Here is a 26,921-nt window from a genome sequence, read left to right as displayed (position 1 = left end):
CTGTGTCTTGACACGGTCTTGCTTGCCTCTGTGTGCGCATTTGTGTCCTGCTCTTAAAAGGACACCAATCATGTTGGATTAGGTACACCTGTATGACATTTTACCTTAGTCGCCTCTTTAAAGGCCTCATCTCCAAATACAGCCCACATTCTGAAACAGTAGGGGTTAGAACTTCAACATACAAATTTTGGAAGGACACAATTCAGCCCATAACAAAAAGTACATATTTAGATTATTACCTGATTATCCACTTGGTTTTAGATATATTGTCTATAGGTGATTATTACCTGATATGATCTGGTGTTGACCCACAGCATCCTCCAACTATATTGACCAAGCCATCCATAGCAAAATCCTGCATTTAGGAAGAGACAAAGTTTCAGCAAGTTCACTTGAATTCTAAACTCATTACCACCAATTCAACATAAAAGCCGTCTATACTTCCTGAATAACTAAGACTATACTAAAAAGAGAGTCAAACATACTTAACTCTAGATACAAAGATATCACATGCCCTAGACATAGGATAAAAGCAAAGAATAGTTCAGATGCTGTGAAATCCTTTATACCATTTAAAATGCAGTGAGAGGCTGGGTATGGTGGCTCACACCTATAATCTCAGCACTTTGGGAGGCAAAGGCAGGAGGATCACTTGAGGCCAGGAATTTGAGACCAGCCTGGGCAATATAGCAAGACCTCATCTCTACAAAAAATTTAAAAATTAGCTGGGCATGGTGGCATGTGTTTATAGTCCCAGCTACTCAGGAGGCTAGGTGGGAGGATCGCTTGAGCCCAGGAGTTCAAAGCTACAGTAAGCTATGATCACACCACTGAACTTCAGCCTGAGCAACACAGCAAGACCCTGTCTCAAAAAAATAAACACAAAAAATAAAGTTCAGTGGGAGATTTGCCTATCTAATGACTTTTTTACCCACATGCTGAGCTGAATGAATATGAGTTGGATAACACATTTTCAAATAACACAAAATAGAGTATTGATTTTTAAATTTACATTAATTGAAAAAATGTTTAAATAACAATTCAGTTCCTCTGTCACACTGGCCACAATTCAAGGGCTCCAAAAACCATATGGTAGTGGCTACATATGGGACAGCATGAGACTAGAGTTTAACCATAGGCTACTGAATAAAGAACACCATAACTAAGAGACAAAGTCAAGGAGCTGAGAAGTCAAGAGTATTGGAAAGATTGTCTACAAAGATAATGAAATCATAAGAAGTAAGTCAGAAATAGCCTAAGAGAGAATGTCAGTGAAACAGAAGCTAAAAATTCAAGGAATAAGGGGAAAGAGACCCAGGGATTAGTAGCTAAGTGCAATAAGAAGCAGCAGTGGATAGTATGGTCTCATGACCTAGGATTTAACAATGGCCAGTGTATGACAGACAGCGAGAATCATGGAGGTGACAATGGGCGGCCAGGGGGACATCTACTCCACCCAGCAGTCTGAGGGGTGTGAGGGCAGAAAGCTACAATTTGGGAAGGCTGCAGGGGAAGCAACATCTCAGAGGAGAGCCAAGTCTCAATTAGTTTGGAGTGGACCTCAACGAGAATTTTCCAGCAGCCACTAGTGCCAGCTGAGGATAAGGATGCTGACAGTTAGCCCTCCCCTGTGCCTCTAGTACCTTAATTTGGGATAGCTAAACTTTTCTTTGTTATATGTACATTGGGATTTCTTCAGGGAAAATTCTCCTTCTAAATACTCTAAATCTAAAATTCAATCTTTCTGTCTCTCTTAAAAAGCCAGTGAAAGGGGGACCCCTGACCTTTAGGTGCTTGGCCATCATAGAAGGCGTTTCATCATAGTCACCAAAGGTGTTGGGAAGACCTGAGAAAGGATAATTCAACCATTATTGCAAATTGCCTTAAAAATATACACTGTATTTTTAAAGACTTTATGTTAATAACTATATAATTTTATATTTATATTAAATGGTGACTACTTGCAAAAACAAACACATAATATTCACACAGTAAACAAAGAGATACCACACCCCCCAAAAAACTAAAAAAAAAAAAAAAAAATCACAGAGGAAAATGAACTCCATTATTTCTTTTCCGTTTGAAAGAAAATATTCACTGTTAGGCAGAACAGAATACCCCCAACCCCACCCCTTCCCATAAGGGAAATTCATTCATTCTTGTTACATAGCCGCTTGGGGGTGGGGGTGGAAGGAATACTACATAACCTTTGAACTAATGCGCAACTAACATGCCATTAAAAACAAACAAAAATCAACCAGTCTCCTTTCAAATAAATTTTCCCAAGTAAGACTTCAGCTTATAACAATCCAGTTTCTTGTTTTATTTATTATCTGCTTCCAGTTATCTTACTCCTGGTGGGAAATAAAATTTATTGTGCATTAAAATGACACATTTGGAGAAAAGAGGCTGGAAAATGACTTTTTGCTCTAAGTAGCTAAGCAGTGCTCAAATACATTCACAGGGATATCTGGTTAACCCTGAACAAATTACCAATATTTAATGGGACAGTTTGAGAACTGTCTACAAATATCTTCAAAACATTTCCATATAATGAACTGCAAGTCCAAGCTTTCAGAGAAGAAAAAGGTAACACCACACAAGATTCTTCTTTTGCTCTTCTACTAACAGAGTGGACCAGAGAAAGGGGTCTCTCTTCTCTTCCTTACACCCATCTTTCTGGTCACGTCCACCAGGCTTGTGCTGTCACCAAAGGCAAAGCTCTGGTCAGTTATGTGACTAAGCTCATTTCCGGAAGTTCTGTACTATTCTGAAGCTTCAGGGTGAGCCGAACTTCCCTCAGGTCTACAGGGAAACACTGCACCCAGACACTCTTCATTTATTAAGTGTCAACTATACCAACACCGGCAAAACAAGATCTTTTATTCAAGATCTCTTACCTCATCTATGCCATGTCTTATGTTATTTTTATCTCCCCATGTGTGACCCCCTTGAAACACACACCTGCATTGGGATAACAGAGGACATAGGCTGTTGTACATTTTCCAATTATTTCAATAAAAGGTCTCATTTCAGCTGCACCCAAAGCACAATTTAATCCAATGCTAGAAAAACAGAAAAAACATATTAAAAGCATCATCTCTCATTCATATTTATGCATATAAGTTATATATGGAGACAATATATCTAAAACCAAGTGGATAATAAATCTCCTCATTCAAAGCACTTTTATTCAACTACCATCAAAGCCATCTCACTGAGGTCCCCTGCAGCACTAAAGATTTTTGCCATTCAGATAATCCTACAGCTGAAAGACGCTGCCTGTGGGTGGACTCCTCAAATCAGTTCACATGGTATTCTATGGTACAGAAATGTCAGCAAACTAACACTGCTAAAAAAAAAAAAAAAAAAAAAAAAAAAAAAAAAGATCTGACCTGAAAGCAAAATTTAAAAGAAAGGAAAAGGAAATCTTGGAGGCAGAAAGAACACAGAATGGTGGCAAGAAGCCACTCTTGAAGTCCACGAGACCAGACCAGGACTTATGCTCTACCCCACAGGCAGAGTCCCTGCTACCCTATAAGGTTGTCAGTGGGTGGTGGGCCTGAGGTCTTCCAGAATTTATGAACCAACTATGAAGCTACTAGACTATGTGATCTCTAATGTTATCACATTTTACTTTTTTCCTTTTACTGTGATTCCTAAGTGCAATGTGGCATCCTAGACTGGATCCTTGAATAGAAAACAGATTATCAGTGGAAAATCCTTGAAATCTGAATAAAGTCTGCAGTTTAGTTAATATAGGTTAAATATCCCTAATCTGAAAACTGGAAATCCAAAATACTTCAAAATATGAAACTTTTTGAGAACTGACATGACCCACAAAAGAAATGTTCACTGGACCATATTAGATTTCAGATTAAGGATGCTAAACTGTAAGTATAGTACAAATATTCCAGAATTCGAAAAACTCTGCAATCCAAAAACACTTCTGGTCCCAAGCATTTCAGATGAGGGATACTCAACCTATAGTAATATACTCTTAGTTTTTACAAAAGTACCATAGTCATGCATTATGTTAACATGAAAACTAGAATATATAGAAATTCTCTGCACTATCTTTGCAACTCTTCTGCAAATCTGAAATGATTCCAAAATTAAGTTTATTTAACAAACATCCAATACTCATTCATTAAAAAAATTCAGCAAACTAGGAATAGGGGGAAATTTCCTTGACTTGATAAAGAGTATCTACAAAAAACTTCCAGCTAGTATCATGCTTAATCATGTGAAACTAGATGCTTTAATGCTAAGATGAGGAACAAGGCAAGGATATCCACTCTCATCTCTTATTCAATATTGTATTTGAAGTCCCTATGCAATAAGAAAAGATAGAAAGTAAAAGGTACACATACGGATTGGAAAGGAAGAAATAAAACTGTCTTTCTTCACAAATGACATGATTGTTTATGTAGAAAATCCCAGAGAATCACTAAAAACTCCTTGAACTAACAAGCAATTATACCAAGGTTTCAAAATACAAGGTAACTATACAAAACTCAATTGTTTACTTATATACCAGATATGAGCAATCAAAATTTGAAATTAAAAACACAGGACAGGCACAGTGGCTCATGCCTGTAATCTCAGCATTTTGGGAGGCCAAGGCAGGTGGATCACCTGAGCCCAGGAGTTTGAGACCAACCTGAGCAACACAGTAAAACCCTACCTCTGCAAAAAATAAAAAAATTAACCAGGCATGGTGGCGCACACCTGTAGTCCCAGCTACTTAGGAGGCTGAGGTAGAAGGATCAATTAAGCCTGGGAGGTTGAGGCTGCAGTGAGCCATGATCATACCACAGCACTCCAGCCTGAGTGACACAGCAAGATGCTGTCTCAAAAAAAAAAAAAAACAAAAAAAACCCCACAAAACCATTTACACTAGCACCAAAACAAATGAAATATTTGGATCTATATGAAAAAAACTATAAAATTCCAATTTAAGATATCAAAGTGGATCTAAATAAATGAAAACATATTTCAAGTTTATGAAGAGGAAGACAATATTGTTAAGATATCATTTCTCACCCTTGATCTATATTCAACAGAATCCCAATGAAAATCCCAGCAGTTACTTTGTGAATATCAACGAACTGATTCTAAAGTTTATATGGCGAGACAAAAGACCCAGAACAGCCAACACAATAATGAGAGAAAAAACAAAAGTTGAAGGACTGACCTACCCAACTCCAAGACTTACTAAAAAGCTAAAGCAATCAAGACAATGTGGAATTGGTGTAAGAAGAGACAAATAGATTAATGAAACAGAATAGAGTCCAGAAATAGAACCACACAAATACATTCAACTAATCTTTGACAGAAACACAGGCAATCCAATGGAGAACAGATATTCTTTCCAATAAATGGTGCTGGAACAACTGGGCATCTGCATTTGAAAAAGTTAATTTAGACAGACATTACATCTTTCACAAAAACTAACTCAAAATGGAACACAGACCTATATATAAATTGCAAAACGATTAAAATTTTGTAAATAACACAGAAAAAATTTAGATGATCGTGGGTTTGGCAATGAGTTTTTAGGTAAAACAACAAAGGCAGGGTCCATGAAAGAAAAAAAACTGGTAACTAGAACTTCACTAAGATTTAAAACTGTTCAGCAAAAGACAGTATTAAGTACATGAGAAGACAAACCACAGGCTGGGAGAAAATATTTGCAAAACACATTATCTGATAAAGGATTTGCTATAGCTTGGATGTGGTTTGTCCATGCCAAAATTCATGTTGAAATTTAAATGCCAATGAAACAGCGTTGGAAGGTGGGGCCTTTACAGATGATCAGATCATTAAGATGGATTACTGTCTTTCTCCAGAGACTGTGTTAGTTCCCTGGAGACTGAATTAGTTCTCAAGGGAATAAATTAGTTCTTTCAAGAACGGGTCGTTATAAAGCAAAACAGTCTCTTGTCCCCTCTCTTTCACACATGCTAACGTGCCCTTTCACTTTTCTGCCATGCTACGAAGCAGCACAAGGCCCTTGCCAGATGTGGCTACTCAATCTTGAAGTTCCCCGCCTCCAGAACTGTGAGCTAAATAAATCTCTTTTCTTTATAAATTACCATCTCAGGTATTCTGTTATAGCGATAGAAAGTAGAATATGACAGACTTGCATCCAAAATATACAAAGAATTCTTAAAATTCAACAACAAACGCAATTTTAAAAACTGTCTAAAGAGCTGACCAGCCTCCTCACCAAAGAAGATATACAGATAGCAAGTAAGCATATGAAAAGATGCTCAAAATTATCATGTTTTTAAGGAATTGCAAATACAACAAGATACCACTATACACCTATTAGAATGGCTAAAATCTGAAACTGACACCACCAAACAAATGTTGGGAAGGATGCGGAACAACAGGAACTCTCCTTCACTGCTGGTAGGAATGCAAAATGGAACAGCAGCTTTGGAGGATAGTTTGGCAGTTTCTCACAAGATACACAGTCTTACCATAAGATACAGCAATCCCCTCCTTGCTATTTACCCAAATGAATTAAAACTTATGTCTACACAAAAACCTGCCATGAATGTTTACGGAAACTTTTTTTTTTTTTTTTTAAGAAACTGACGCTTATTTTCCATCAGCCTTATTTCCATGTTACTTAACAGCCCAGGTAAGAACAGCTTAAGACCATTCAGTGGTTGCTGCTACTTATTCAGTGGCCTGAGCAGTGGGAGCTGCAGACCAGTCTTCCGTGGCAGGCTGAGTGCTCCAGTCTTCAGCTGGAAACTGCTGAATAGGCACAGAGGGCACCTGCATGCCTCAGACCAATCTGCAACCTCAGGCCGAGTAGCAGTGAACTCGGGAGCTGGAGCAGTCCATTCACCCTGAAACTCCTCCTTGGTCACAGTCTTTTCAGTAGCAGCCTGCTCTTCTTTTTCAATCTCTTCAGGATCTCTGTACAAGCAGAGATCAGGCATGACCTCCCGCAAGTGTTCACAGGAAATGGTGCCACGCATGTGCAGAACTTCTCAGGCCAGCATCCACCACATCAAACCCACCGAGTGAGCTCCCTTGTTGCATGCAATGGCAATGTCCACATAGCGCAGAGGGGAATCTGTGTTACACAGCGCAATGGTAGGCAGGTTAACATAAAGATGCCTCCATGAGAGGCTGCTGGTCAGCCCTCGAGTCAGTAACCACAAGAAGCCATGGCTCCCGGAAGGCTGCCTGGATCTGGTTAGTGAAGGTTCCAGAAGTGAAGCGGCCAGCAACTGGAGTGGCTCCAGTGGCAGCAGCAAACTTCAGCACGGCCCTCTGGCCAGTATTCCTGGAGGATATGACACTGACATCAGCAGGGTTTTTAATGGCAACAATGGCACAAGCCGCCAGCTGTAGCTTCTCCCAGGTCCTCTTCAGATTTATGATGTAGATCCCATCATTTTTCCTTTTATAGATGTACTGCTTCATTTGGAAGTCAAGTTTGGTGCCACCTAAATGGGTTCCTGCTGTAAGGAACTTAAGGACATCCTCCTCTTTCATTTGCAGGACATCAGGGGCTCTGGACATTGTGAAAGTTTCCCTTTAAGTTACATGGGAATCCAGAACAACGCCGGATGGACCCCTCTGTGAGTAGCATGGAAAGGCCATGGGAGATTTATTTGTAATTGCTACAACTTCGAAGCAACCAAGATGGTCTTCAATACATGAATGGGAAAAAAACCCACCGTACATCTTCGCAACGGAATATTATTTAGCGTTAAAAAGAAATAAGCTATCGAGCCTACAAAGACATGAATGAACCTTAAATGAAGATCACTAAGTGAAAGAAGCCAATGTGAAAAGGCTACATACTATGTGGTCTCAACTATATACCATTCTGGAAACAGCAAAACTATAGGACAGTGAGAAGATTTGTTGCCAGCAGGCCAGGAAAAAGAATAAATAACTGGAGCACAAGGGACTTTTGGGGCAATGAAACTACTCTGTATGATGCTGTAATGGATATATGTTACTCATGATATATTTGTCAAAACCCACAGAATATACAAAACCAAGAATGAACCCTAAGGTAAACTACAGACTTCAGTTAATAATGTATTGATATTGGTTCATATTGTAATAGGTGTACCACACCAATGCAAGCTGTTGATAATGAGAGAATTTTGAGACTCCATCTCAAAAGAAAAAAAGAAAACTCTGTCTCCCATTTTCAAAACCTAGCTCAAATGTCACCTTCTTTACAAGCTGTCTCTAAATTCTACAAGAACTCCATTACTCCTATGTATTGCCAGATTTTTATTCATAGTTCTGTATAGCACTGTGTATTTTATATTTTAATTCACTTATGCATTTCTCCTAGTGTGGACTATTCCAGATTGGACTGTATTCCAGGACATATAGTAGTATTTCAATAAATATTTGATGAATTACCAGTAATATAAAGGCTCTATCCCACTGTTCTATAGTTCGTGATAATCACAAGTCAGTAAGCAAAAGTTTCCTACATATATGTAAGAAAATGTATCCTTTTCACATATTATTTGCTGCCTTCTATCTGCCCCTACAGTCTGTAAGATTCGTAACGAAATAGAGAGCAAATACATTCTCTCTGTGAATGGACTGTAGCTGAAGTCATAGAAAGGATTATTTTTAAAAATTTTTAATTAACCACTGAGTGGATCAAAAGTCAGAACTGAATGTTTGCTTAAGAAATAAAAACATAAATTATTTAGACCTCGATAAAACCTCATCTTGGGGCTCCTGGAGGTGAGGCAGTGGCAGGAAGAACGTCCTCTAAGGGGCCCTTGAGAACTGTCAGCAAACTAAAGACTCCAGTGACACCCAGGACAACACAGAGGTTTTACCTAATCGCTAGGAAAGACTATATCATTATTATTAAGATCTCACACTGGTGTGGTACACCTATTAGAATGTGAACCAATAGCAATACATGATTAGTAACTAAAGTCTATGGTTTACATTAGGGTTCATTCTTGGTTTTGTATATTTTGTGGGTTTTGACAAATACATCATGAGTAACATATATCCATTACAGTGTCATTTACTTAACCACATAACAAATTCAGACTTAGCAAAGGGGCGGGAAAAGAGAAAGCGAAGGGAGGAATGCTCCAAATACTCACAGATAGGCACAAAAATTTAAATAAACTAGATAAAGTTTGTCTTCAGAGACCTCTACATTTCCTACCCTCAGTTTTTTTGTTAAACGTTTATGACATCCCTACTATGTGCCAAGAATTCCACTAAACACTACAGAAATAAAGATGAAGAGACTGCTCAGGAAAAACTCATAAGCTGTAAAGGAGGTCATCACAACCCAGTTCAAGACAATGATTTTCTTAGTCGTCAGGCCCAATCAAATGTCTATTAATGCACTTAAAATTAATAGCACCTTTTAAGAAATCACAATATGACATTAAGTCAACTGTAAGATGCACCCTGTAATTATAAACATTTAAGTGTGAAAAAAAAGAACATCACATAATTGATAAAATGTGATCTAACACAGGGGTTAAAAGCATGCTCCTGTCCCCAGATCCTCTATTTACTTCACCTTGGGCGAGTTACAACCTCTGAGTCTCAGTACCCTTCTTGTTAAAATGGGGACATTAATACCAGTACCTACCCTCAAGGTGTTATTGCCAGAATTAAAGAATTCACATAAAGCACTTAGAACAGAGCCTGGCACACAGCAAACTCTCAACAAATGTCTATTACTCTTACTTTTTATGGCAAAAGCTAAAATAAAAGTAAACGAAGAACATCGACCTGCGCTAGTGAGAGAGGGAATGTTCTCTGGAGGGAAGATTCTTGAGATGAGTCTTAAAGGCTAAGAAGAAGTCAGCAGAGTGAACAGGTATGGAGGAGGGAAAGGGGGGAAAGGGGGAAGGGGACCAGCATAGCTTCCAGGCAGTAGGAATAGAAGAAAAAAGCCCAGAAATAAAAAAAGTCCAGGCAAAAAACAGCATATATACTCAGATACTCTTCCATGTCACTCAAAGTACACAATTTAAAACATTTGGATATGAAAAATAAAATATAAATAGGGAGTTATTTTTAAGCAGATTGTAAAAGTCATGTTAATTTAATTCTTTAGAGACAGATCCTGCTATGTTGGCCAAGCTGAAATACAGTGGTTATTCATAGGAGCTATCATAGTATACTACAGCCTCCAACACCTGGCCTTAAGAGATCCTCTCCTGCTTCCACCTCCCAAGTAGCTGGGACTACAGGCCCACACCACCATGCCAACTGCCATGTTCACTTTACAGATAAAAACCTGAGCTTTAGAATTCCCACCTTATTCCATGACAGATTGCTTCTGGTTGCCTCATAAATAGGGAGTGTCACTGCCCTAAAATTTGCAAAGCACTGCAAACTATAAGGGGCACGCCTACAGAAAACAGGCAACCATTTGTAAGTATGAGAACTCTCCCAGTCCCTCAAATTGACCCGTTTAGGCAGCGATCTTCTGAAACCTTTAGGGAAAAGTCTGAAAGTACTTAAAGGAAAGTCAATATAGCAGAAGTGGTACAGTGAAAATATGTAGAAGCAATCCCCTCCCAGGTCACACTCCACAGCCATCAGAAAAGGTTCCCCAAAAAAGAAAAGAAGTTACAGAAAGATGGATCACTCACCAGAGTGGTTCTCCATGAGACACGCTGATGACAAATCCCTCTCCTGTCTGTCCGGAAAGAGTCCGCCCACTTTTATCAACGATCGTCCCTGAAATCTGAATTGACAAAGTAAACAAAGTCAACAATACAGACTCAAGTTAAGAATATAGATATAAAGGCAAAATAAAATGAACACACTGACTTCCTTTGCTCTTTTACAAGGAAAAGAAATGTGGAACTCAAATTCAAAGGGGGCACTTTCTATAATAGTCAGAACAGACATGTGCCAAGAGACTAGGGAAAGAGGCAGGAAGCCACAGAAACAGAGACAAGGGAAAGTCACTGTAGCAAAAGCAATGACCAAAACAACTTTGGAATTCACACATCCAGTCTCATTAGAGGCAGATTTCCCAGAGATAACATCAAGTCATCCTGACCTCCTGCTGTTAAACATTGGATTTATCTAACACCCTTGTTTTGATTCAATTCGCTTCTCACCAAGCAATTTTAGGACTCGCAGAGAGGTCTGCCTACTGAGTTAATAAATTGGCAGTCTGGTGTCTTAGGTGTTGGGTATGTGGCCATCAGCATGCAAGTCCACCCCTCCTTGGGCCCTAATGAGACTGAGCCTTGAAGCCTTTGGCTTCAAGGACCAATACAGTGGGCTTCTTTTGAACAGTTTGCCTTCCATCAGCTACTTCTAGATTCATTTTCCTTGCCTCTCCAGATATAAGACTGTTATTGGTCCAGAAGTGGTGGAAGGGAAGTGAACAATGGAAGTTAAAGTAGATGAGTTCTAAAGATACCATTAATAGTTCTACTATGCAAAGCGGGGGAAAAACATGCTCAAAAGGACAATTATTAATAAAAGAATGTATTGTGCAAACACTTTAGAACTTACAAAGATAGGCCGGGGAGCATATTTCTCCTCAAAAAGATTTTGGAGTGCAAACAAGGCTGCCTGTCAGGGAAAAAAGAAAGAACGTCTTTATTTCTGAGAGTGTGTCCAAGATTAGTCTAACTTCCTGATTAGAATGCACCCTTTTCTAAGACCTCTTCAGATAAGATATACATCAAGCTCTCTGGGAAGAAGTGTCTTCCTTATAAGGCACAACCCCAGCACCCCTTTCTCAAGTGTAATACTGTGCATATTGAAACAAAACAAAAGCTGACTGAAAGTTCACCTAGGAACTAGTATTTCCACTGAGGAGGAGCTGAAGGGGTATTCTTTCTTCCTTTCTTCAATAAAAATTAAAAATAAATAAGTAACACTCAGGAGGCTGAGACAGGACGACTGCCTGAGCCTAGGAGCTCAAGGTTGCAGTTGAGCTGTGATTATGCCACTGCACTCCAGCCCTGATGACAGAACAAGACTCTGTCTCAAAAATAAATAAATAAGAATGTCCCTGCCTTTCACATCCTTTCATACACATGGTAGGTATATGAACCAACAGTATCCATCATTGCGAAAAACAGCATGAGCTTAGATTAGGTAGTAAAGGTACAAATCCTATGTCATTCTGTGCTGTTCAGTCCACATTTTAAGTTCCAGATAATGGATCTTCTTTTTTATCATTATATTTCTTGATTCTAAGATATGTATGTTTTCACAATTAATTCTCTGAAATCAGAATGCAACCTGTAATTAATGTGCATCTTTCCTGTGATGGTAGGTTTTTTTCATGGAAAGTTACTAAATCAATAATATCAGAATTTCCTCTTTAGAACTAGACAAATTGATCCTAAAGATCTTACGGAAAACAAACATATAAGAATAGCCATGAAAGTTCTGGAAAATGGGGTGGGACTCAATGCAAAAAATCTAAGCCAACCAGTTACTCAGACATATTCTAATGTTGTGGTAAATGGTGCAGTAGTGCCACATCAGCAGACAGATTGATAGAAAACACTAGATCCAAATGCACTCCAGAATTTTGGATGATAAGGATAATGCTCCACATCATTCCTATCACTGTGAAATAACAGGATGTTTAATAGATGGTGGTAGGAAAACTAAACTTTAAAGGAAAAAAGTTAGCTCTCGATTCTATTTCTCACTCCAAAATAAATACAAGATGCACCGTGAGGGACATTAGTTCCATATAATCATAATGTATGCCACACATTCGAAAACTTAGAAACTCAACAAAACCTATCCTTAATGCTTAACCCTCCTGTTAATCCCTCTTATTTCTAATCTGAACAATACCGTGACTCTCTCCAGATGTATATACGAATCTCATTTCAGATATATTCCTTATCTTGTTACTGCTCTCATTTTCAAAATGTGTATCTGAATTCCTTTTCAAATTATAATTTGTTTACTGCAGATTCACAAAACAATTTCTAAAAAGACATATAAAAAAGAACCCAGTGAAAGTGATGTGTTAAGAATGAGGTAGGGTGGTCATCTAGCTTCAGGCTGGTAGTGGCTCTCTACGTTCTTCCTGCTTGCAAGTATTTTAGAAAACGATTTTTTTGAAAAGTTCAAAAATTCTGGACCTGTGGTCTGATTCCCACAACAATGAAACATTTAATGAAACTGTAAAGTACTACGGAGGAAAAGGCCATTTTTCCATTTTTTTCTTCTCTTCAACTGAGGAGTGGCTCTGTAAGTGTAGTCTCCCCCTCCCACAACAAAAAAATAGAATCTGTAAATTCAACCACACAACATTTAAGAAAAATTCTCCTACACCATTAAAACGCACACACAAACTAACAATAACACAACACTACCACCATCACCACCATAAAGAAAGTCAAATGTCAAACAAACTGGAGGACAGGAGCTGCTACTTATTATTGAGAGGGGCCTGATTTCCTCAGTAAAGGACTCAATTTTAAAAAGCCAAAGTCCAATAGAAAAAAAGGACAGAAGACATAAATCATAGAAAATGAAATATAAATGGCTCTAAAACTGAAGAAAGATGCTCAATTACATTAGTAGTAAGAAAAATACAAATTAAAACTACAGTGAGGTACCACCTGTCAAACTGGAAAAGGTCAAACAGTTTAATAATACACAGTGCTAGTGAGGGTGTCGTGAAACCAGGACTATTGTACATTGCTTGCTGAAGGGAGTATAAATGAGTCCAGTCGCAAATGAGGGTAATTTGACACTAAAGATAAAAATTAACAACGCATATACCCTTTGATTCAGCAATTTAACTTGTAGAAATGTATCCTACAGATACACTGTGTAAAAACGTATGTATAAGGATATTTGCTTCTCTCTCCATATACACTTATGTGCCTTTGCATGTATGTAAGGAACACAAACACACACATACACACATGCCTATATCTGTATCGCATCTGTCAGGACCCCCAAACTGGTAATAGTGGTTGTATCAGGAAAGGGAGCTGGATAACTAGAGACTAGGAAAGGAAAGGATATTCACTTTTCACTCCATATATTTATGTATCTTTCAAATTTAGAACCAGCAGCATGTATTACCTCAGGATATATGCATTTATACTAGCTATATATGAAAATATTTATTTTCATAATTAGAAAAAAGTTATTTTAAAAGCTTCAAAAGCAGGTTTAAAGTTTTTCTTATTGTACTGGCCTCAGTTAAAAATACTCAAGAATAAAATGGAGCAAATACAGGTAATTTATTTAACTTTGATAATGGCTAATATTATCTTCTCCCTACATTAGGGGACTCACCCACAGCCCTTACCCCAGCCTTGTCTGTTTTTTCTCCCTTAACTCACCTTGGCATTGGCAGTATCAAAAATAGTTTCAATGAGTAAGATATCAACCCCGCCATCCAGAAGTCCTTTGGCCTGCTCTTGGTATGCTTCAACAAGCTCATCAAATGCTGCAAAAAATAAATCACACCCAGCACATCAGTCATCAATATCCTCTGAATGGCCCTAGGGTATCTCGAGTGTAGGTCTGGCACCTGTGAACTATTGCTGGTTTACAATGCATAGTTTAAGAACATGATCTTTTGTAAGAAACCAAATAAAGAAAGGTGGCAGGGACAGAAGGTAAACAAGTAAGCTGAAGGCAGCTGTTCCTAAACACCTGCCACGTAACTTCCACTTCCCATGTATGAGCTGAGGAGTGAGAGGGAAGGCGTATGAATTTCTTGAACATGTACCCCCCATTCAACATCTCTGAAACATATCATTCTTTCCATAGCTCATTTCAATCAACCGGTTAAGAGATGGCTGTGAGAAACATGCCACACTGATGCAGAGAGGTCACAGGTTGAGTAGAAGTCACTCTCTGTGATAAAGGGCTGCAAGCCCGCAGATTTTGTCTCTGCTCTTACACCAACTCTGTCAGAGAAGAAACCTGTCTGGTGAGCAATTTCAGTCTCAAACAAAAAGTGTTCAATCACTCCTAGGTAAAATTTTTGTTAGAAATGTCTTGGGTTGGCCCAGTGCAGTGGCTCACGCCAGCACTGTGGGGGCCTGGGGTGAGCAGATCACTTGAGGTCAGGAGTTCAAGACCAGCCTGGCCAACATGGTGAAACCCCAACTCTACTTTAAAAATATAAAAATTAGCCAGGCGTGATGGCACACGCCTGTAGCCCCAGCTACTGGGGAGAGTGAGACAGGATAATCGCTCAAACCCAGGAGGTGGAGGCTGCAGTAAGCCAAGATAATGCTCAGATATCCAACAGAGAAGCCTACACAACAAAGTCCTCTTGTAACATCGTTGACAGGTTCTCAGAAATTGCAACTTTGACTGAGACAATATGTAACAAAACCAGTATTTTCTTTCTAATCAACATTATAATGAAATTCTGTTGAAGGAAATGACATTATTTGAGGGCCTGCTATGCATCATTTTGCTTAAAGATGCAGTTTTCAAAAACCTGCCAATGACGTTAAGTGAAGACTTACCGTACTTCACCTTGTACAGCCCAAGAGCAAGGGTAAGTTAGCTCCCCACTGGCAGGTCTAGACCAAAGAGAGCATCAACAACACATAAGCCTGGTATGAACAACTCCTAGTGAAAAAGTGTGGTATCACAGCACACAAAGTTCCATAAACCAAAAACCTACAAACCATATTTGCTTGATCTCATCATCTCCACCCACTGCACTACCAGACATGGTATCATGACTATTCAGCTCTGATATTTTAATGCTTTTTGTTTTCTATAGTCTTGATGCTTAGAAATTGACCTAGATACTTGGATGTTTTGTCAGATCTCAATATAAGTATGTTTATATATGGTAGTTTATAACATGTATAATGCTAACATGTTGATATGGTTTGGCTGTGTCCCCACCCAAATCTCGTCTTGAATTCCCGCGTGTTGTGAGAGGGGACCTGGTGAGGGTAATTGAATCATGGGGGCAGGTCTTTCCTGTGCTGTTCTTATAAGAGTGAATAAGTCTTACGAGATCTGATGGTTATATAAGGGGGAGTTTCCCTGTACAAGCTTTCTCTTTGCCTGCTACCATCCGTGTAAGACGTGACTTGCTCCTCCTTGCCTTCTGCCATGATTGTGAGGCTTCCCCAGCCACATGGAACTGTAAGTCCATTAAACCTCTCTTTCTTCTGTAAATTGTCCAGTCTTGTACGCCTTTATCAGCAGTGTGAAAATGGACTAATACAGATGTCTAGATAGTTTGGACTGCCTTCTGATAAATGAGGATATTGTGTGCTATTTTATAATAGACCACAAACCTAGTATCCAAATTTGTTCAACTTCTGAGTTTACAGCTTTATTTTAGTTGGTTTTATTTCCACAGCTGACAAAGCAGCATTAACACACCACCATATATATTTGAAAGCAAGTTCAAATAATAATAATCATCATAGCTAACTTTCTATTTAGATGTCTACTATATTCCAGGCACTGCTGTACACGTTTTACATGGATTAAATCACAGTAACTCTAAGGTAGATCCTGTTATTGATTCCATTTTACAGATTTATAGCTTACTGAAGCTTGGGGAGTACTTCCCCAAGATCAATGATTATATGTGGTAAATACTCACTGATGTTCCTATAATCCGGCCTTTCCACAGATGGGGACACAGAGAGTGTCTTATTAGTCGGACCCAGAGCCCCTGCCACAAACCTCTTAATTCCTTTGGGAAAAGAAAAACAAGTGTGAGATCTCTAAGTGGCTGAACATTTTTTGTCGTGAATGAATAGCCAATAAGATTTTTTTCTGGAACACAGGTCTATAATCTTTTGTCCACAACTCTGAAATCCAAAAAGCTCTAAAAGCCCAAACTTTTTTCTCAGTTTGACAATAAAACTTGACCTCTCCTAAACTAACGAGAGACTATTTATAGTCTTTATCCAACTTAGATGATTCATAGATTCTGCTTACATATATTTGATCATGGGGCTGCCCCAGATCCCACTAAGGAAATTATGCCATATAGGAGATATACACATATCATCACGAAACCAGTCCCCACAACTCTCAATTCTCACACAACTAACTAAAACATTTCAGTAAGTAATCCTTTTCTATCACCACAGCTGTGTTTGGACAAATTCCCTCTCTTCCTATTTTTATGAAGCCCTGAAGGTTTTGAACTTAACGTAAGTTCTGCAAAATCACCTTACAGTAGCATTTAACTTGAAATGCTCTCTAGTACCATATTGCAGGCCCTTCACTAGAAGGAAATACTAAATCAGGATTAACAATTATAAAGCCTGAAATTGAAGTATGAAGCAGAGCAAATCTTTCTTTAATAACTTTTCCTCTGCCCTGAAGTCCAGGTGCTTCTAAAAATGGTGTAGCAAGTTGTGTTCATTCCTAAAGAAGCCAGGGTTGTACTGCTCATTACCTTTGATGACTTTAGCCACTCAATAACCTGGGCTATGCTTTGTAATTTAACTGGAGAGGACTATCAGCTAATTGATAAACCAGCTTTTGAACAGGTTACAGGCCCAAATATTCTTTTGCATCCCCAAAGCTAACCAATAACGTGGGTATAAGAAAAATGTCCTTCTCTCTCCCTGCTTTAGCTGGTTCAGTGTCCTCTGACCTGTGACTCTGTTGGAGTAATAGTCTATGCATTTCCATGAATTTAAACATTATCTCTTAGAAACAGAGTTCCTGCTTTGGTCTTCATTAGTATGCTGTGTATAACTTCACAGCAATTCTGCTTTCCTGTTGGCAATAACTTCACGTTTCCAAGTCTTAAGGGGCTACATATATTTCTTATATTCCTTTCCCTCCCTCAAAGCCTCCTACCAGCTGGTGCCCAAGTGTTCTGATGGCATCCAGCCAGGAGGCTAGTTATTTCAGGAGCCACTTTTCAAGTCCAAGCAAGACTGAATCTAATGCCACACTTTTTTGTGTGCTTCACAGAGCCTTCAAGGACATCAATAGTATAAAGGGAAAATGCTTGAAAGGCAATATCTTTACCTATATCAGCCAATCATGGGAATGAGGGTGGCTTTAAAAAAATGAGATCAATTATCCTAATAACAGCCAAGATCATCAAAACAGCCAGCTGTTACTTTTAATGACATGATGATGTGCTTCCAAAGAGACATAAATTATTTCAGCTCTAAATACACAAGGAAGTCAGGGGCCTAGCTACAAAGTCAGGCTAACCCAGGGTGAAAGAGCAAATTCCGAGCCCAAGGACCACAGAGTTGGCATCAATTCAAAGATGTTGAGTGCTTGATTATGAAACTGCAGAGAAGTAATCTACAAACATGTAAAATACAGTCTCTGCAGTGTTACTCGTAAGCCAAAGGCCACATAAGGAAAAACTGCAATAAGGACAGCACATTATAGCTGACAGTATCAAAGGAACCACGTGTGCAAAAAAAGAGAAGAACATTCCCTACCTGTCTGGAGAGTTACCTCCTCGGCAGCTTTTCTGGCCACTCCTGCAGAGCACATGTTCATCCGGTAGGCCTAACGTATCAACCACAAACGTTAGCTTGTCCTTCTTTTCCTCCGCACAATAAATAATGGATTCATGACCATCTAATACTCAGTTTTCTTCAGTAACAAAATGTAGAGTGAATTAATCTGAGGTCTGAGTGAAATCTTAGCCAAGCAGGCATATCAGCTCCAGACTTGAAAGGCAGCAAGGAAAGACAAGAGTCCTTGGGAACTGCTTTTAGGTTCTCCTCCCAAACCATGAGCTAGCCAGTAAAAAGGGCAATCCCTAGACATCTAGCATGTCAGAGAATAACTTACGTAGTTAAATATTCTGAGAATTAAGAAAAAAATAAAGCAATGGAAAGAGCATAGGCTTAAGAGGCAAAACACGCAGGTTCAAGCACTAGTCTGTCACTGCCTGGCCAGGCAGTTCCCACAGCAACTTTTCCAGGCCTTGATTCATGTACAACAGTTGGGATCAGTAATTCTGAACTTTTTGCATATTATTAACCACCTGAGAATTTGATAAAGGACTATGAACCCTCTTACCAGGAAATAAAAAGCAAATATGCACATACACACATAGTGTTGCCTATGATTTAAGGAGGTTCACGGCCCTCCAGAAGCTCTTCCACAGACCAAGTCAGGAGAAACTAGACTTGTGATTTTCAAGTTCCTTTGAATTCCTAAGATCCTATGTGTCTTGAATAACCACATCCAGGAATTTAACAACCAGAATATCCTAAATAGGTACTGGCAAACTCTGGCTCATAGGGCAAGTTGGGTCCACCGCCTGTTTTTGTAAATAGTTTTACTGGGATAAAGTAAGTCCATTTATTTATATAATGTCTATAGCTGCTTCCACACTACATGATGGAGTTGAGCAGTTGCAAAAGACTGTCTGTAGCTAACAAAGCCGAAATATGTACTATCTGACCCTTTATTAAAAAACGTTGGCCAACTTCTGCTCTAAAATGACACAAAAGTAACTGGAAAACACTGCTTACCTGAAAACAGAGTAATGTGTCTGGAAACATGCCAAACAAAAATGGGGACATTAGCATCTACCATATATTTCTATCATCAAGGTTTTATAAAATTTAAATATGGAAGCATCATGTCGATTAAAAGGAAATCAAATCTGCCAATAGTATCATTAGGATGACTACTATTTAAAAAAATAGAAAATAAATGGTGGTGAGGATGTGGAAATACTGACACTCTTGTTCACTGTTAGTGGGAATGTAAAATGGTACAGCCGGCCAGGCGCGGTGGCTCACACCTGTAATCCCAGCACTTTGGGAGGCCGAGGTGGGCAGATTACCTAAGCTCAGGAATTGGAGACCAGCCTGGGCAACATGGCAAAACCCTGTCTCTACAAAAAATACAAAAATTAGCAGGGCATGGTAGAGCAAGCCTGTAGCCCCAGCTACTTGGAGGGCTAAAGCAGGAGAAACACTTGAACCCAGGAGGCGGAGGTTGCAGTGAGCCGAGATCACTCCACTGCACTCCAGCCTGGGTGACAGAGCAAGACCCTGCCTCAAAAAAAAAGGTACAGCCACTCTGAAAAGCAGTATGGCAGTTCCTCAAAAAATTAAACAGAATTACCATATCATCTAACAATTCAACTTCTGTGTATATATACAAAAAATTGAATGTGGGGACTTGAATACATGCTATATATACATGTATATAGCAACATTGCATATTCACAATAGCCGAAAGGTAGAAGCAACCCAAATGATCAACAGATGAATAAGCAAAACGTGGTATATACACACAATGGTATATTATTCAACCTTAAAAAGGAAGGAAATTCTGATACATACTACAACATGGATGAACCTTGAGGACATTACATTAAGTGAAACAAACTAGTCACAAAAGGCCAAATACTATATGATTCAACATATCTAAGGTACCTAGAATAGTCAAATTCATAGAGACAGAAAGTAGAATAGAGTATGCTGGGGCTGGAGTTGGGGGTAGAATGGGAAGGTATTGTTTAATGGGTACAGAGTTTCAGTTTTGGAAAATGAGAAAGTTCTGGAAATGGACAGTGGTGATGATAGCACAATACTGTGAATGTACTTAATGCCACTCAAGTGTACACTTAAAAATAATTATGATAAATTTTAGTGTTATTTAATCACAATTTTTAAAAAAGAAAGAAACCAAGGCTGCCATCTAATACTTAAAAAGGCCTCACAATACTGTGTGCATACGGCCAATGATTATGCCTTTATCAACAGCTACTGCATAATTAAGTATCATTTATATTTGATTATTACTTGCCCATAAAAGAAGCCAGTTGGAAAATGAATGGGCCACTGTGTTCACAAGCTGGAAGGATTCACACCATTTTCCCTGTCTCATCATAAACAACAGATAACTAGGCATTAGCTTGACTCTGCAGCTTCCAGTGCTTTACTCACTAGCAACTACCAATGCAGCAAACGCTCGTAAGCATCTTAGACACATGGAACAATGGAATTCTTACCAAGTGTTCAAGGCCATAGTCAGCTTGGGCAATACTAGTGCTGCTAAAAGTATTTGTTTCAATGATATCTGCCCCAGCCAGCAAGTATTCCTGCAACAAGAGATTATAATGTCAATTATGAGCTTTAGAGTTTCTTGTGCCCCCAGAATAAACATGCCCTTTCATTACCACCATTATCAGCAGCTACCTTTTGACCATTTACTAAGAGTAAGGCACTGCATTAGAAGGTAGAGATGCAAAAAGGTGTAAGGATTTCACAGAAAGGCACGTGGTATGAATAAATAAACACGAAACTTGAATTCAGACAATGTTAACATGCTAAGGTTATAAGAACTTAATCAAGTCCCTTAAACTCTCTGAGTCTCAGTCTCTTCATTCAAATATATTATAACCCTACTTCACAGGGTAGCTATATGCTAACATAAGGTAACACATCAGCCAGGCATGGTGGCTCACGCTTGTAATCATAGCACTTTGGGAAGCCAAGGTGAGAGGACTGCTTGAGGCCAGGAGTTCAAGACCAGTCTGTGCAACATAGAAAGACCCTGTCTCTAACCAAAACAACACGAAAAATTAGCCAGGCATGGTGGCACATGCCCGTAGTCCCAGCTACTCGGAAGGCTAAGGCAGGAGGACTGCTTGGGCCCAGAGGTTCAAGTGAGCCACAGTGGGCTAGAGTGAGCCACGGTGGCACCACTGCACTCCAGCCTGAGTGACAGAGTGAGACCTTGTCTCAAAAAAACAACACCAAAAAGATAATGCATCAAATGTCTGGCACACAATGGGCACTCAACAAATGGTAGTTCTGTTCCCTTATCTTCTTCCTGCTTTGGCAGAACCTGATGCCCACCGAGAAGTATACCATCTCAGAGATCTCAACCTCTGACCACAATTGTTCAGTCTACATCTCCTAGTCTCTCTGAACAAGCATCACATCCCTACTGAAACCCTGAAGATCTTGATGCTCCTTTGTGCTCTCTTCGAAACTCGTCTCCCTGGCTCCACTCCTTGGATCATCTCAACCTCAATCTGACTAGCAACCTGGAATCCCTTGACCCCCTTGATTTTCCAATACTGAATAAACCCAACCCCTCTTAAGTCGATGGACAATGGTTGCAGAAGCACTGGGAGATAAAAACCAAGATACGCACATTTATAGTAACAATAACAAACATCCGAAATATCTACCCATAGGGAAACAGCTAAATAAACTAAAATATATCCACTTTATTACATGCCATGTGACAGCAAAAAAACTGTGTATATCTACAAATACTGACATGGAAAGATTCTGCAAAGTATTGTTAAGTAAAAAAAAAAATAGAATGATACGTAAAGCATGACACCATTAAATTAAAAAAACATACACAGAGTACTATGAGTTTTCTACATATATATATTCACTCACGTATACACACATACACATATATGAAAATGCCTAACAAAGGAATCTGGGACGACACACACCAACTAATATCAGTGGTTATCTCTGGGGAAAAAATAGCAATTTAGAGTATGGTCAAATGGGAATGTATTATCTACGAGATTTGTTTTATAAGAACTAATTTAAGTTTTTTTTAAAAGAACAAGAAAAACTGAAAATAAACTTAATGCCTAGGAATAAGGAGATTAGTTAAATAAATGATGATATATACATGGAATAGATTATGAAGTTATTAAAACCATGTTCCAGAATATTTAATACTCATGGTATATAAGTAAAAAATGCAAATTATAAGACAGTACGAAGCAATGTAATCCCAATTTAATTTTTTAAACTCCAAGTATAGAAAACTAGACTAAAATACAAAATACATGAATGATAATTGTATCTTAGAATTTTATAATGGGTGAGCGCCAGCTTTCTAGTTCATAGACAGCATCTTCTCACTGTATCTTCACATGGTGGAAGGGGTGAATAAGCGCCCTTGAGCCTCTTTTATAAGGGCACCTCCTAATACCATCACACTAGGCATTAGGATTTTACATATGAATCTCATGGGGACACAAACATTGAGAACACAGCAGTGCCCTTATAAGCACAAATATGAGAGTTTTTTGTTCTCTCTCTGCTCTCCGTCATGTAGATACAAAGACAGCTATCTATAAACAAGAGGGCCCTCACCAGACACAGGATCTGCTGGCACTTTGACTGTGGACTTCCAGCTTCCAGAACTGTGAGAAATAAATGTGTGCTTGTATAACCCAGTCTATGGTAACAGGTAATACAGCAGCCAAAGCTAAGATACCAACCACCTTTAAGCATTTCTTCATCAGGGCTGTTGCAGTAACTTAAATAAGATAGTTTTCTCACACTCACTAGTGTGAAAACCCTTATTTGTCCAGATTCTCATAGTTTTTCACTAGAGTTTACATGCCTCAAGGGCAGAAAACCTACCTACCTCATTCCCTTATCCTGAGTGCTTAACACAGTACATAACTTTTATTTGATGTCCAAAACCTGCTTTCTGAATAAATTGCCTCTTTATTCTTTATTCTCCGGAGCACTCGGCATAGCAGCCTGCCCTGATACATGAAACAGCTTGCAGAATAACAGAATGAATACACATGGGAACCTGGGAATACTTTACCTTATGGATTTGGTAAATGACATCAGGCTGAGTTATACTTAAAATGTCATTGTTGCCTTTCAGCGGCCTGGCATGATCTTTAAATTCCTGACCTCGGAAGTGTTCTTCGTTTAGCTTCTCCCGCTGGATCATGGTCCCCATCCCTCCATCCAGCACCATAATCCTCTTCTGCAGAATGGCATTGATCTCATCCCGCAGGGTTTTCTTCAGACCTTCTTTAAAGAAAGTGAAAGTTTGACTTCAAAGAATGAAAGGTGAAAAAGATGTGTGAGGGAGGAGCTTTAGAGAAATTTATAATAATCTCCAATAAGGAGTAAATGGAGTTTATAAAAGATGCACTCATAACTCTATATAGGAAAACGCTGCCCAAAAAGGTCATTAAGTCGTGACAATGCCTAATACAAGATTGCACACAGCACAAAATTCCTGGTGAAGCACGAAACCAAGGTGAAGGTAGGCTACACTACTCCTGTTTTACAGATGAGGAAAACAGGCAATAATGGGCCAGTGATACAAGACTTTGCTCTCTTTCCTTGTTAATTCTGTGCAGATACTCCCTAAATAAAATGATTTAGCAGAGATAATTGAAAACCATCAATAATTCCAAACTATTCTTTAAAATATTAGCTTTGACCTTCTCCCTCACCTATTGCCAGAACTAATAATGGCCTGCAAACAGAGTTTTACTCACCTCTGCCCAACTATGAAATAATAACTGGCTAACACCCTTGAACTTCTCAACTCTCCCCATGCTCCTTGACTTCTAATTCCCAGTCCAGAAAAGGGCCCAATGCTTACTCCTTCTAATCCTGCTTTCTGGTTTCTACGACCTACTGGAAAGCCACAAAACTATGCTGACTGGAGTCACTGAAAACTTGCAACGTTCAGCCTCCTTTGGTTCACCTTTTCTTGACCTCCCTCAATACTTCCAACATCTACTGTCCCAATTTCTACTTTTTTTTTTAGCACCAAATCCTTTTCCTCCTCACTCCACAAGTGATTTCACCTAATCCCGTACAAAGAAGTTTTCTGTTGGAGGCTCCTCAAACTCACACCCTCTCCACCTCAAAATCCTCTTGCAGTCTGGCTCACTCTATTTCCCTTCTTTCTGTACCTAAGGAAAAGCGCATGATGACCAACACCTCCCACTGCTCCCTCATCTAGCCCTTCCCACTCCCACAGTTCCACCTCAGCAACCACCGATTTCTTATCCTTCTGACATGGCTTCCTCCTCCACCACTCTCCTGAAATTACTTTCTAAAGTCACCAATGACCTTCTAAATATCAAAAACACCTGGCCCCAATCTTAGACCCAGCTTTTAAACTGTCCACTGGATATGGCTACCTCAACTACCCACCTGCCCCTCAATCTAATATTCAAAACCAAACTTGCATATATTCTCTGTCTCATCTCCTGATTTCTGTAAATGGCAACACCCTTCCCAGAAGACTAACCATAAAATCTCAGTATTATCTGACTCCTTATTCTCCCTGATAACCAACATCTACTTAGATCCCAAGCCTTATAGATTTGGCCTCTAAAATGCCATGCACAATGGTCCCACCTTCCTCGCCCTGTGACAACCCCTTTCTTCAACCCCTTACTACACAGGCCAGCTATCACCAATCCTCTCTGAGCTCTAGTTTGCATCCATGCAAATGAGATCATACATCTATGGAAGTGCCTTGTAAACTATCAAGTGTCCTACAAAGGTAAGAGATCACCACCATACCCAGTCGCCCTGTGTTCTAATCCATCCTGTGCACCACTACCAGATTTATCTTCCTATACAACAATTTTAAACCAGTTGCTTCCCCTGCTCAAACACCTTCAACAACTCCCTATAGCATATCAGACTGAATACATGTTACTCAAAACAAACCATAATGACGCCAACCCATTCCTTCTGTGCTAAGAGGCGAGAAAAGCTCAAGTCAAATGGGGCTGGTTCTAAGCTATCTGAGCTCCTTGGAACTCATGCCTAGCAACACTAAGGTCAGTACTTGGCAAATATTTCTTTAATTGAAATGACAAAAAAGTGAGGGAAGATGAGAAAGAAGAGGCAAAGATAATTTAAAACCCAAACCAGTAATGTAAGAATATTTGTAAGCTGGTATTGGGTGCAAACTTACAACCCTGCCTCGTCTTACTGTCCAGAGTCTCAAGTATACAATATGAGAACTGGGGCTAAATGGTGGTCACAGAACTATTTTGAGTGACTTTCTCCAAGTGGGCTTCAGGAAGGTGGCTCTAGTAACCTAAAAGAAAAATTTGCAATATCCAATATCTAGTTTCTGGGCACTATGTTTCTTTCAGGGTGTACTATTCCTTTCCAAAGCCACCTCACTTGCTAATTGTGTTTACTGAACTTGCAGGTGAGATAAAACACTTCCTGATAAAGGAACGAAGTTAAGCTCCAATGATCTGTACAAAAGTACTTCAAGAACCAAAGAAAATCACTTCTTGGGAAATGTGGAGAAAAGGTAGGGCTTAATGAAGCATGTATAATAGAAAGACTGGTAGGCATCAGGCAGTGGGCGCCATTTCAAGCTATAGTCGACACGGTAAATTCACATGTAGTGTTAATTTAGGCACTCCATGATGTGACTATCCTATCAGCCAATAAGCACTCAGAATTTGATAGGCTTAAGCTAATAGTAGCAGGGTGTGAAAACCCAAGAAATCTGGGTTTTAGCCCCAGCTCCCCTTAGTAGCTATGGGATTTTAGACAAGTCCTCTCCATGCTTCAGCAAGATGAGGAAACATCAGCCCTGCCTTCATCATCAGAACTGTGATACTAAAATGAGACCATGTGTTAAGAACTGGACCTCTTAAGTCACACAAGTCATGAAATGAGACATTGGTGTTTGATGTATAGTAAACATCTGATAAATATTAGCTACTCTTATTATGTTGGTATTATAGCACAGCAAGGACTGAAGCTCTAAAGATTGTGTTCTATATATTACAAAGCTCAGTGGGCTGTGAAAAATCATGTAAAGCCTGAAGCTCTCAGTTGGTCATGTTGGGGCAGGAATGGCATATTTGCAGGTTGGGAAATGTCTTCTAACAGTCGAGTGAAAGAAGAAAATACTCAGTGAAAGCTGTTAAATGTAGATAATTTCACAGGAGGAATGAGAAGACTAAGAACTAAAGACTCTAACCTACATGCCCAGCTGAATCGCTTTCTTCTCAAAAGGATGTAGCTGCAATTCTCCCTGAAATGACATCACGTGAACTTAAGTGGGTGACTGAATCATAAGCCTAGTGTGAGCATGAGGTGTGGCAGTGGGGAAATAGGTCATGCACATGAAATTTCATATTTAAAAGGTATTCAAACTTCCTAGGGAGAAAAAGGCAATCTTTTCCACAGACAGTG

At 39.2% G+C, this 26,921-nt stretch overlaps 1 protein-coding gene and 1 pseudogene across 13 annotated transcripts in view; both read right to left on the bottom strand.

Moving 5' to 3' along the window:
- Positions 1 to 26,921, bottom strand: part of MTR (5-methyltetrahydrofolate-homocysteine methyltransferase) — a 108,701-nt gene that overhangs the window by 76,798 nt on the left and 4,982 nt on the right. For 5 of the 13 annotated variants that reach the window (NM_001291939.1, XM_047421186.1, NM_000254.3 and 2 more), the window contains exons 2-11: positions 23,542 to 23,756; positions 20,951 to 21,040; positions 18,411 to 18,480; positions 16,589 to 16,681; positions 14,340 to 14,446; positions 11,521 to 11,580; positions 10,641 to 10,735; positions 2,965 to 3,065; positions 1,785 to 1,846; positions 288 to 355 (exon numbers count right to left, since the gene is read on the bottom strand). In NM_001291939.1, the coding sequence (NP_001278868.1) occupies positions 288 to 355; positions 1,785 to 1,846; positions 2,965 to 3,065; positions 10,641 to 10,735; positions 11,521 to 11,580; positions 14,340 to 14,446; positions 16,589 to 16,681; positions 18,411 to 18,480; positions 20,951 to 21,040; positions 23,542 to 23,756 (961 nt within the window). Of the gene's footprint in view, positions 1 to 287; positions 356 to 1,784; positions 1,847 to 2,964; positions 3,066 to 10,640; positions 10,736 to 11,520; positions 11,581 to 14,339; positions 14,447 to 16,588; positions 16,682 to 18,410; positions 18,481 to 20,950; positions 21,041 to 23,541; positions 23,757 to 26,921 lie in introns of those variants that run through there. The other 8 variants (XM_011544194.4, XM_017001330.3, XM_017001329.3 and 5 more) reach the window with 3 other exon arrangements.
- Positions 6,594 to 7,623, bottom strand: RPSAP21 (ribosomal protein SA pseudogene 21; annotated as a pseudogene).

Source organism: Homo sapiens, chromosome 1, assembly GCF_000001405.40.
Source record: "Homo sapiens chromosome 1, GRCh38.p14 Primary Assembly".
Classification (NCBI taxonomy): domain Eukaryota; kingdom Metazoa; phylum Chordata; class Mammalia; order Primates; family Hominidae; genus Homo; species Homo sapiens.
The sequence above is the reverse complement of the archived record's forward strand: the minus strand, read 5'-3'. Positions and strand labels throughout refer to the sequence as shown.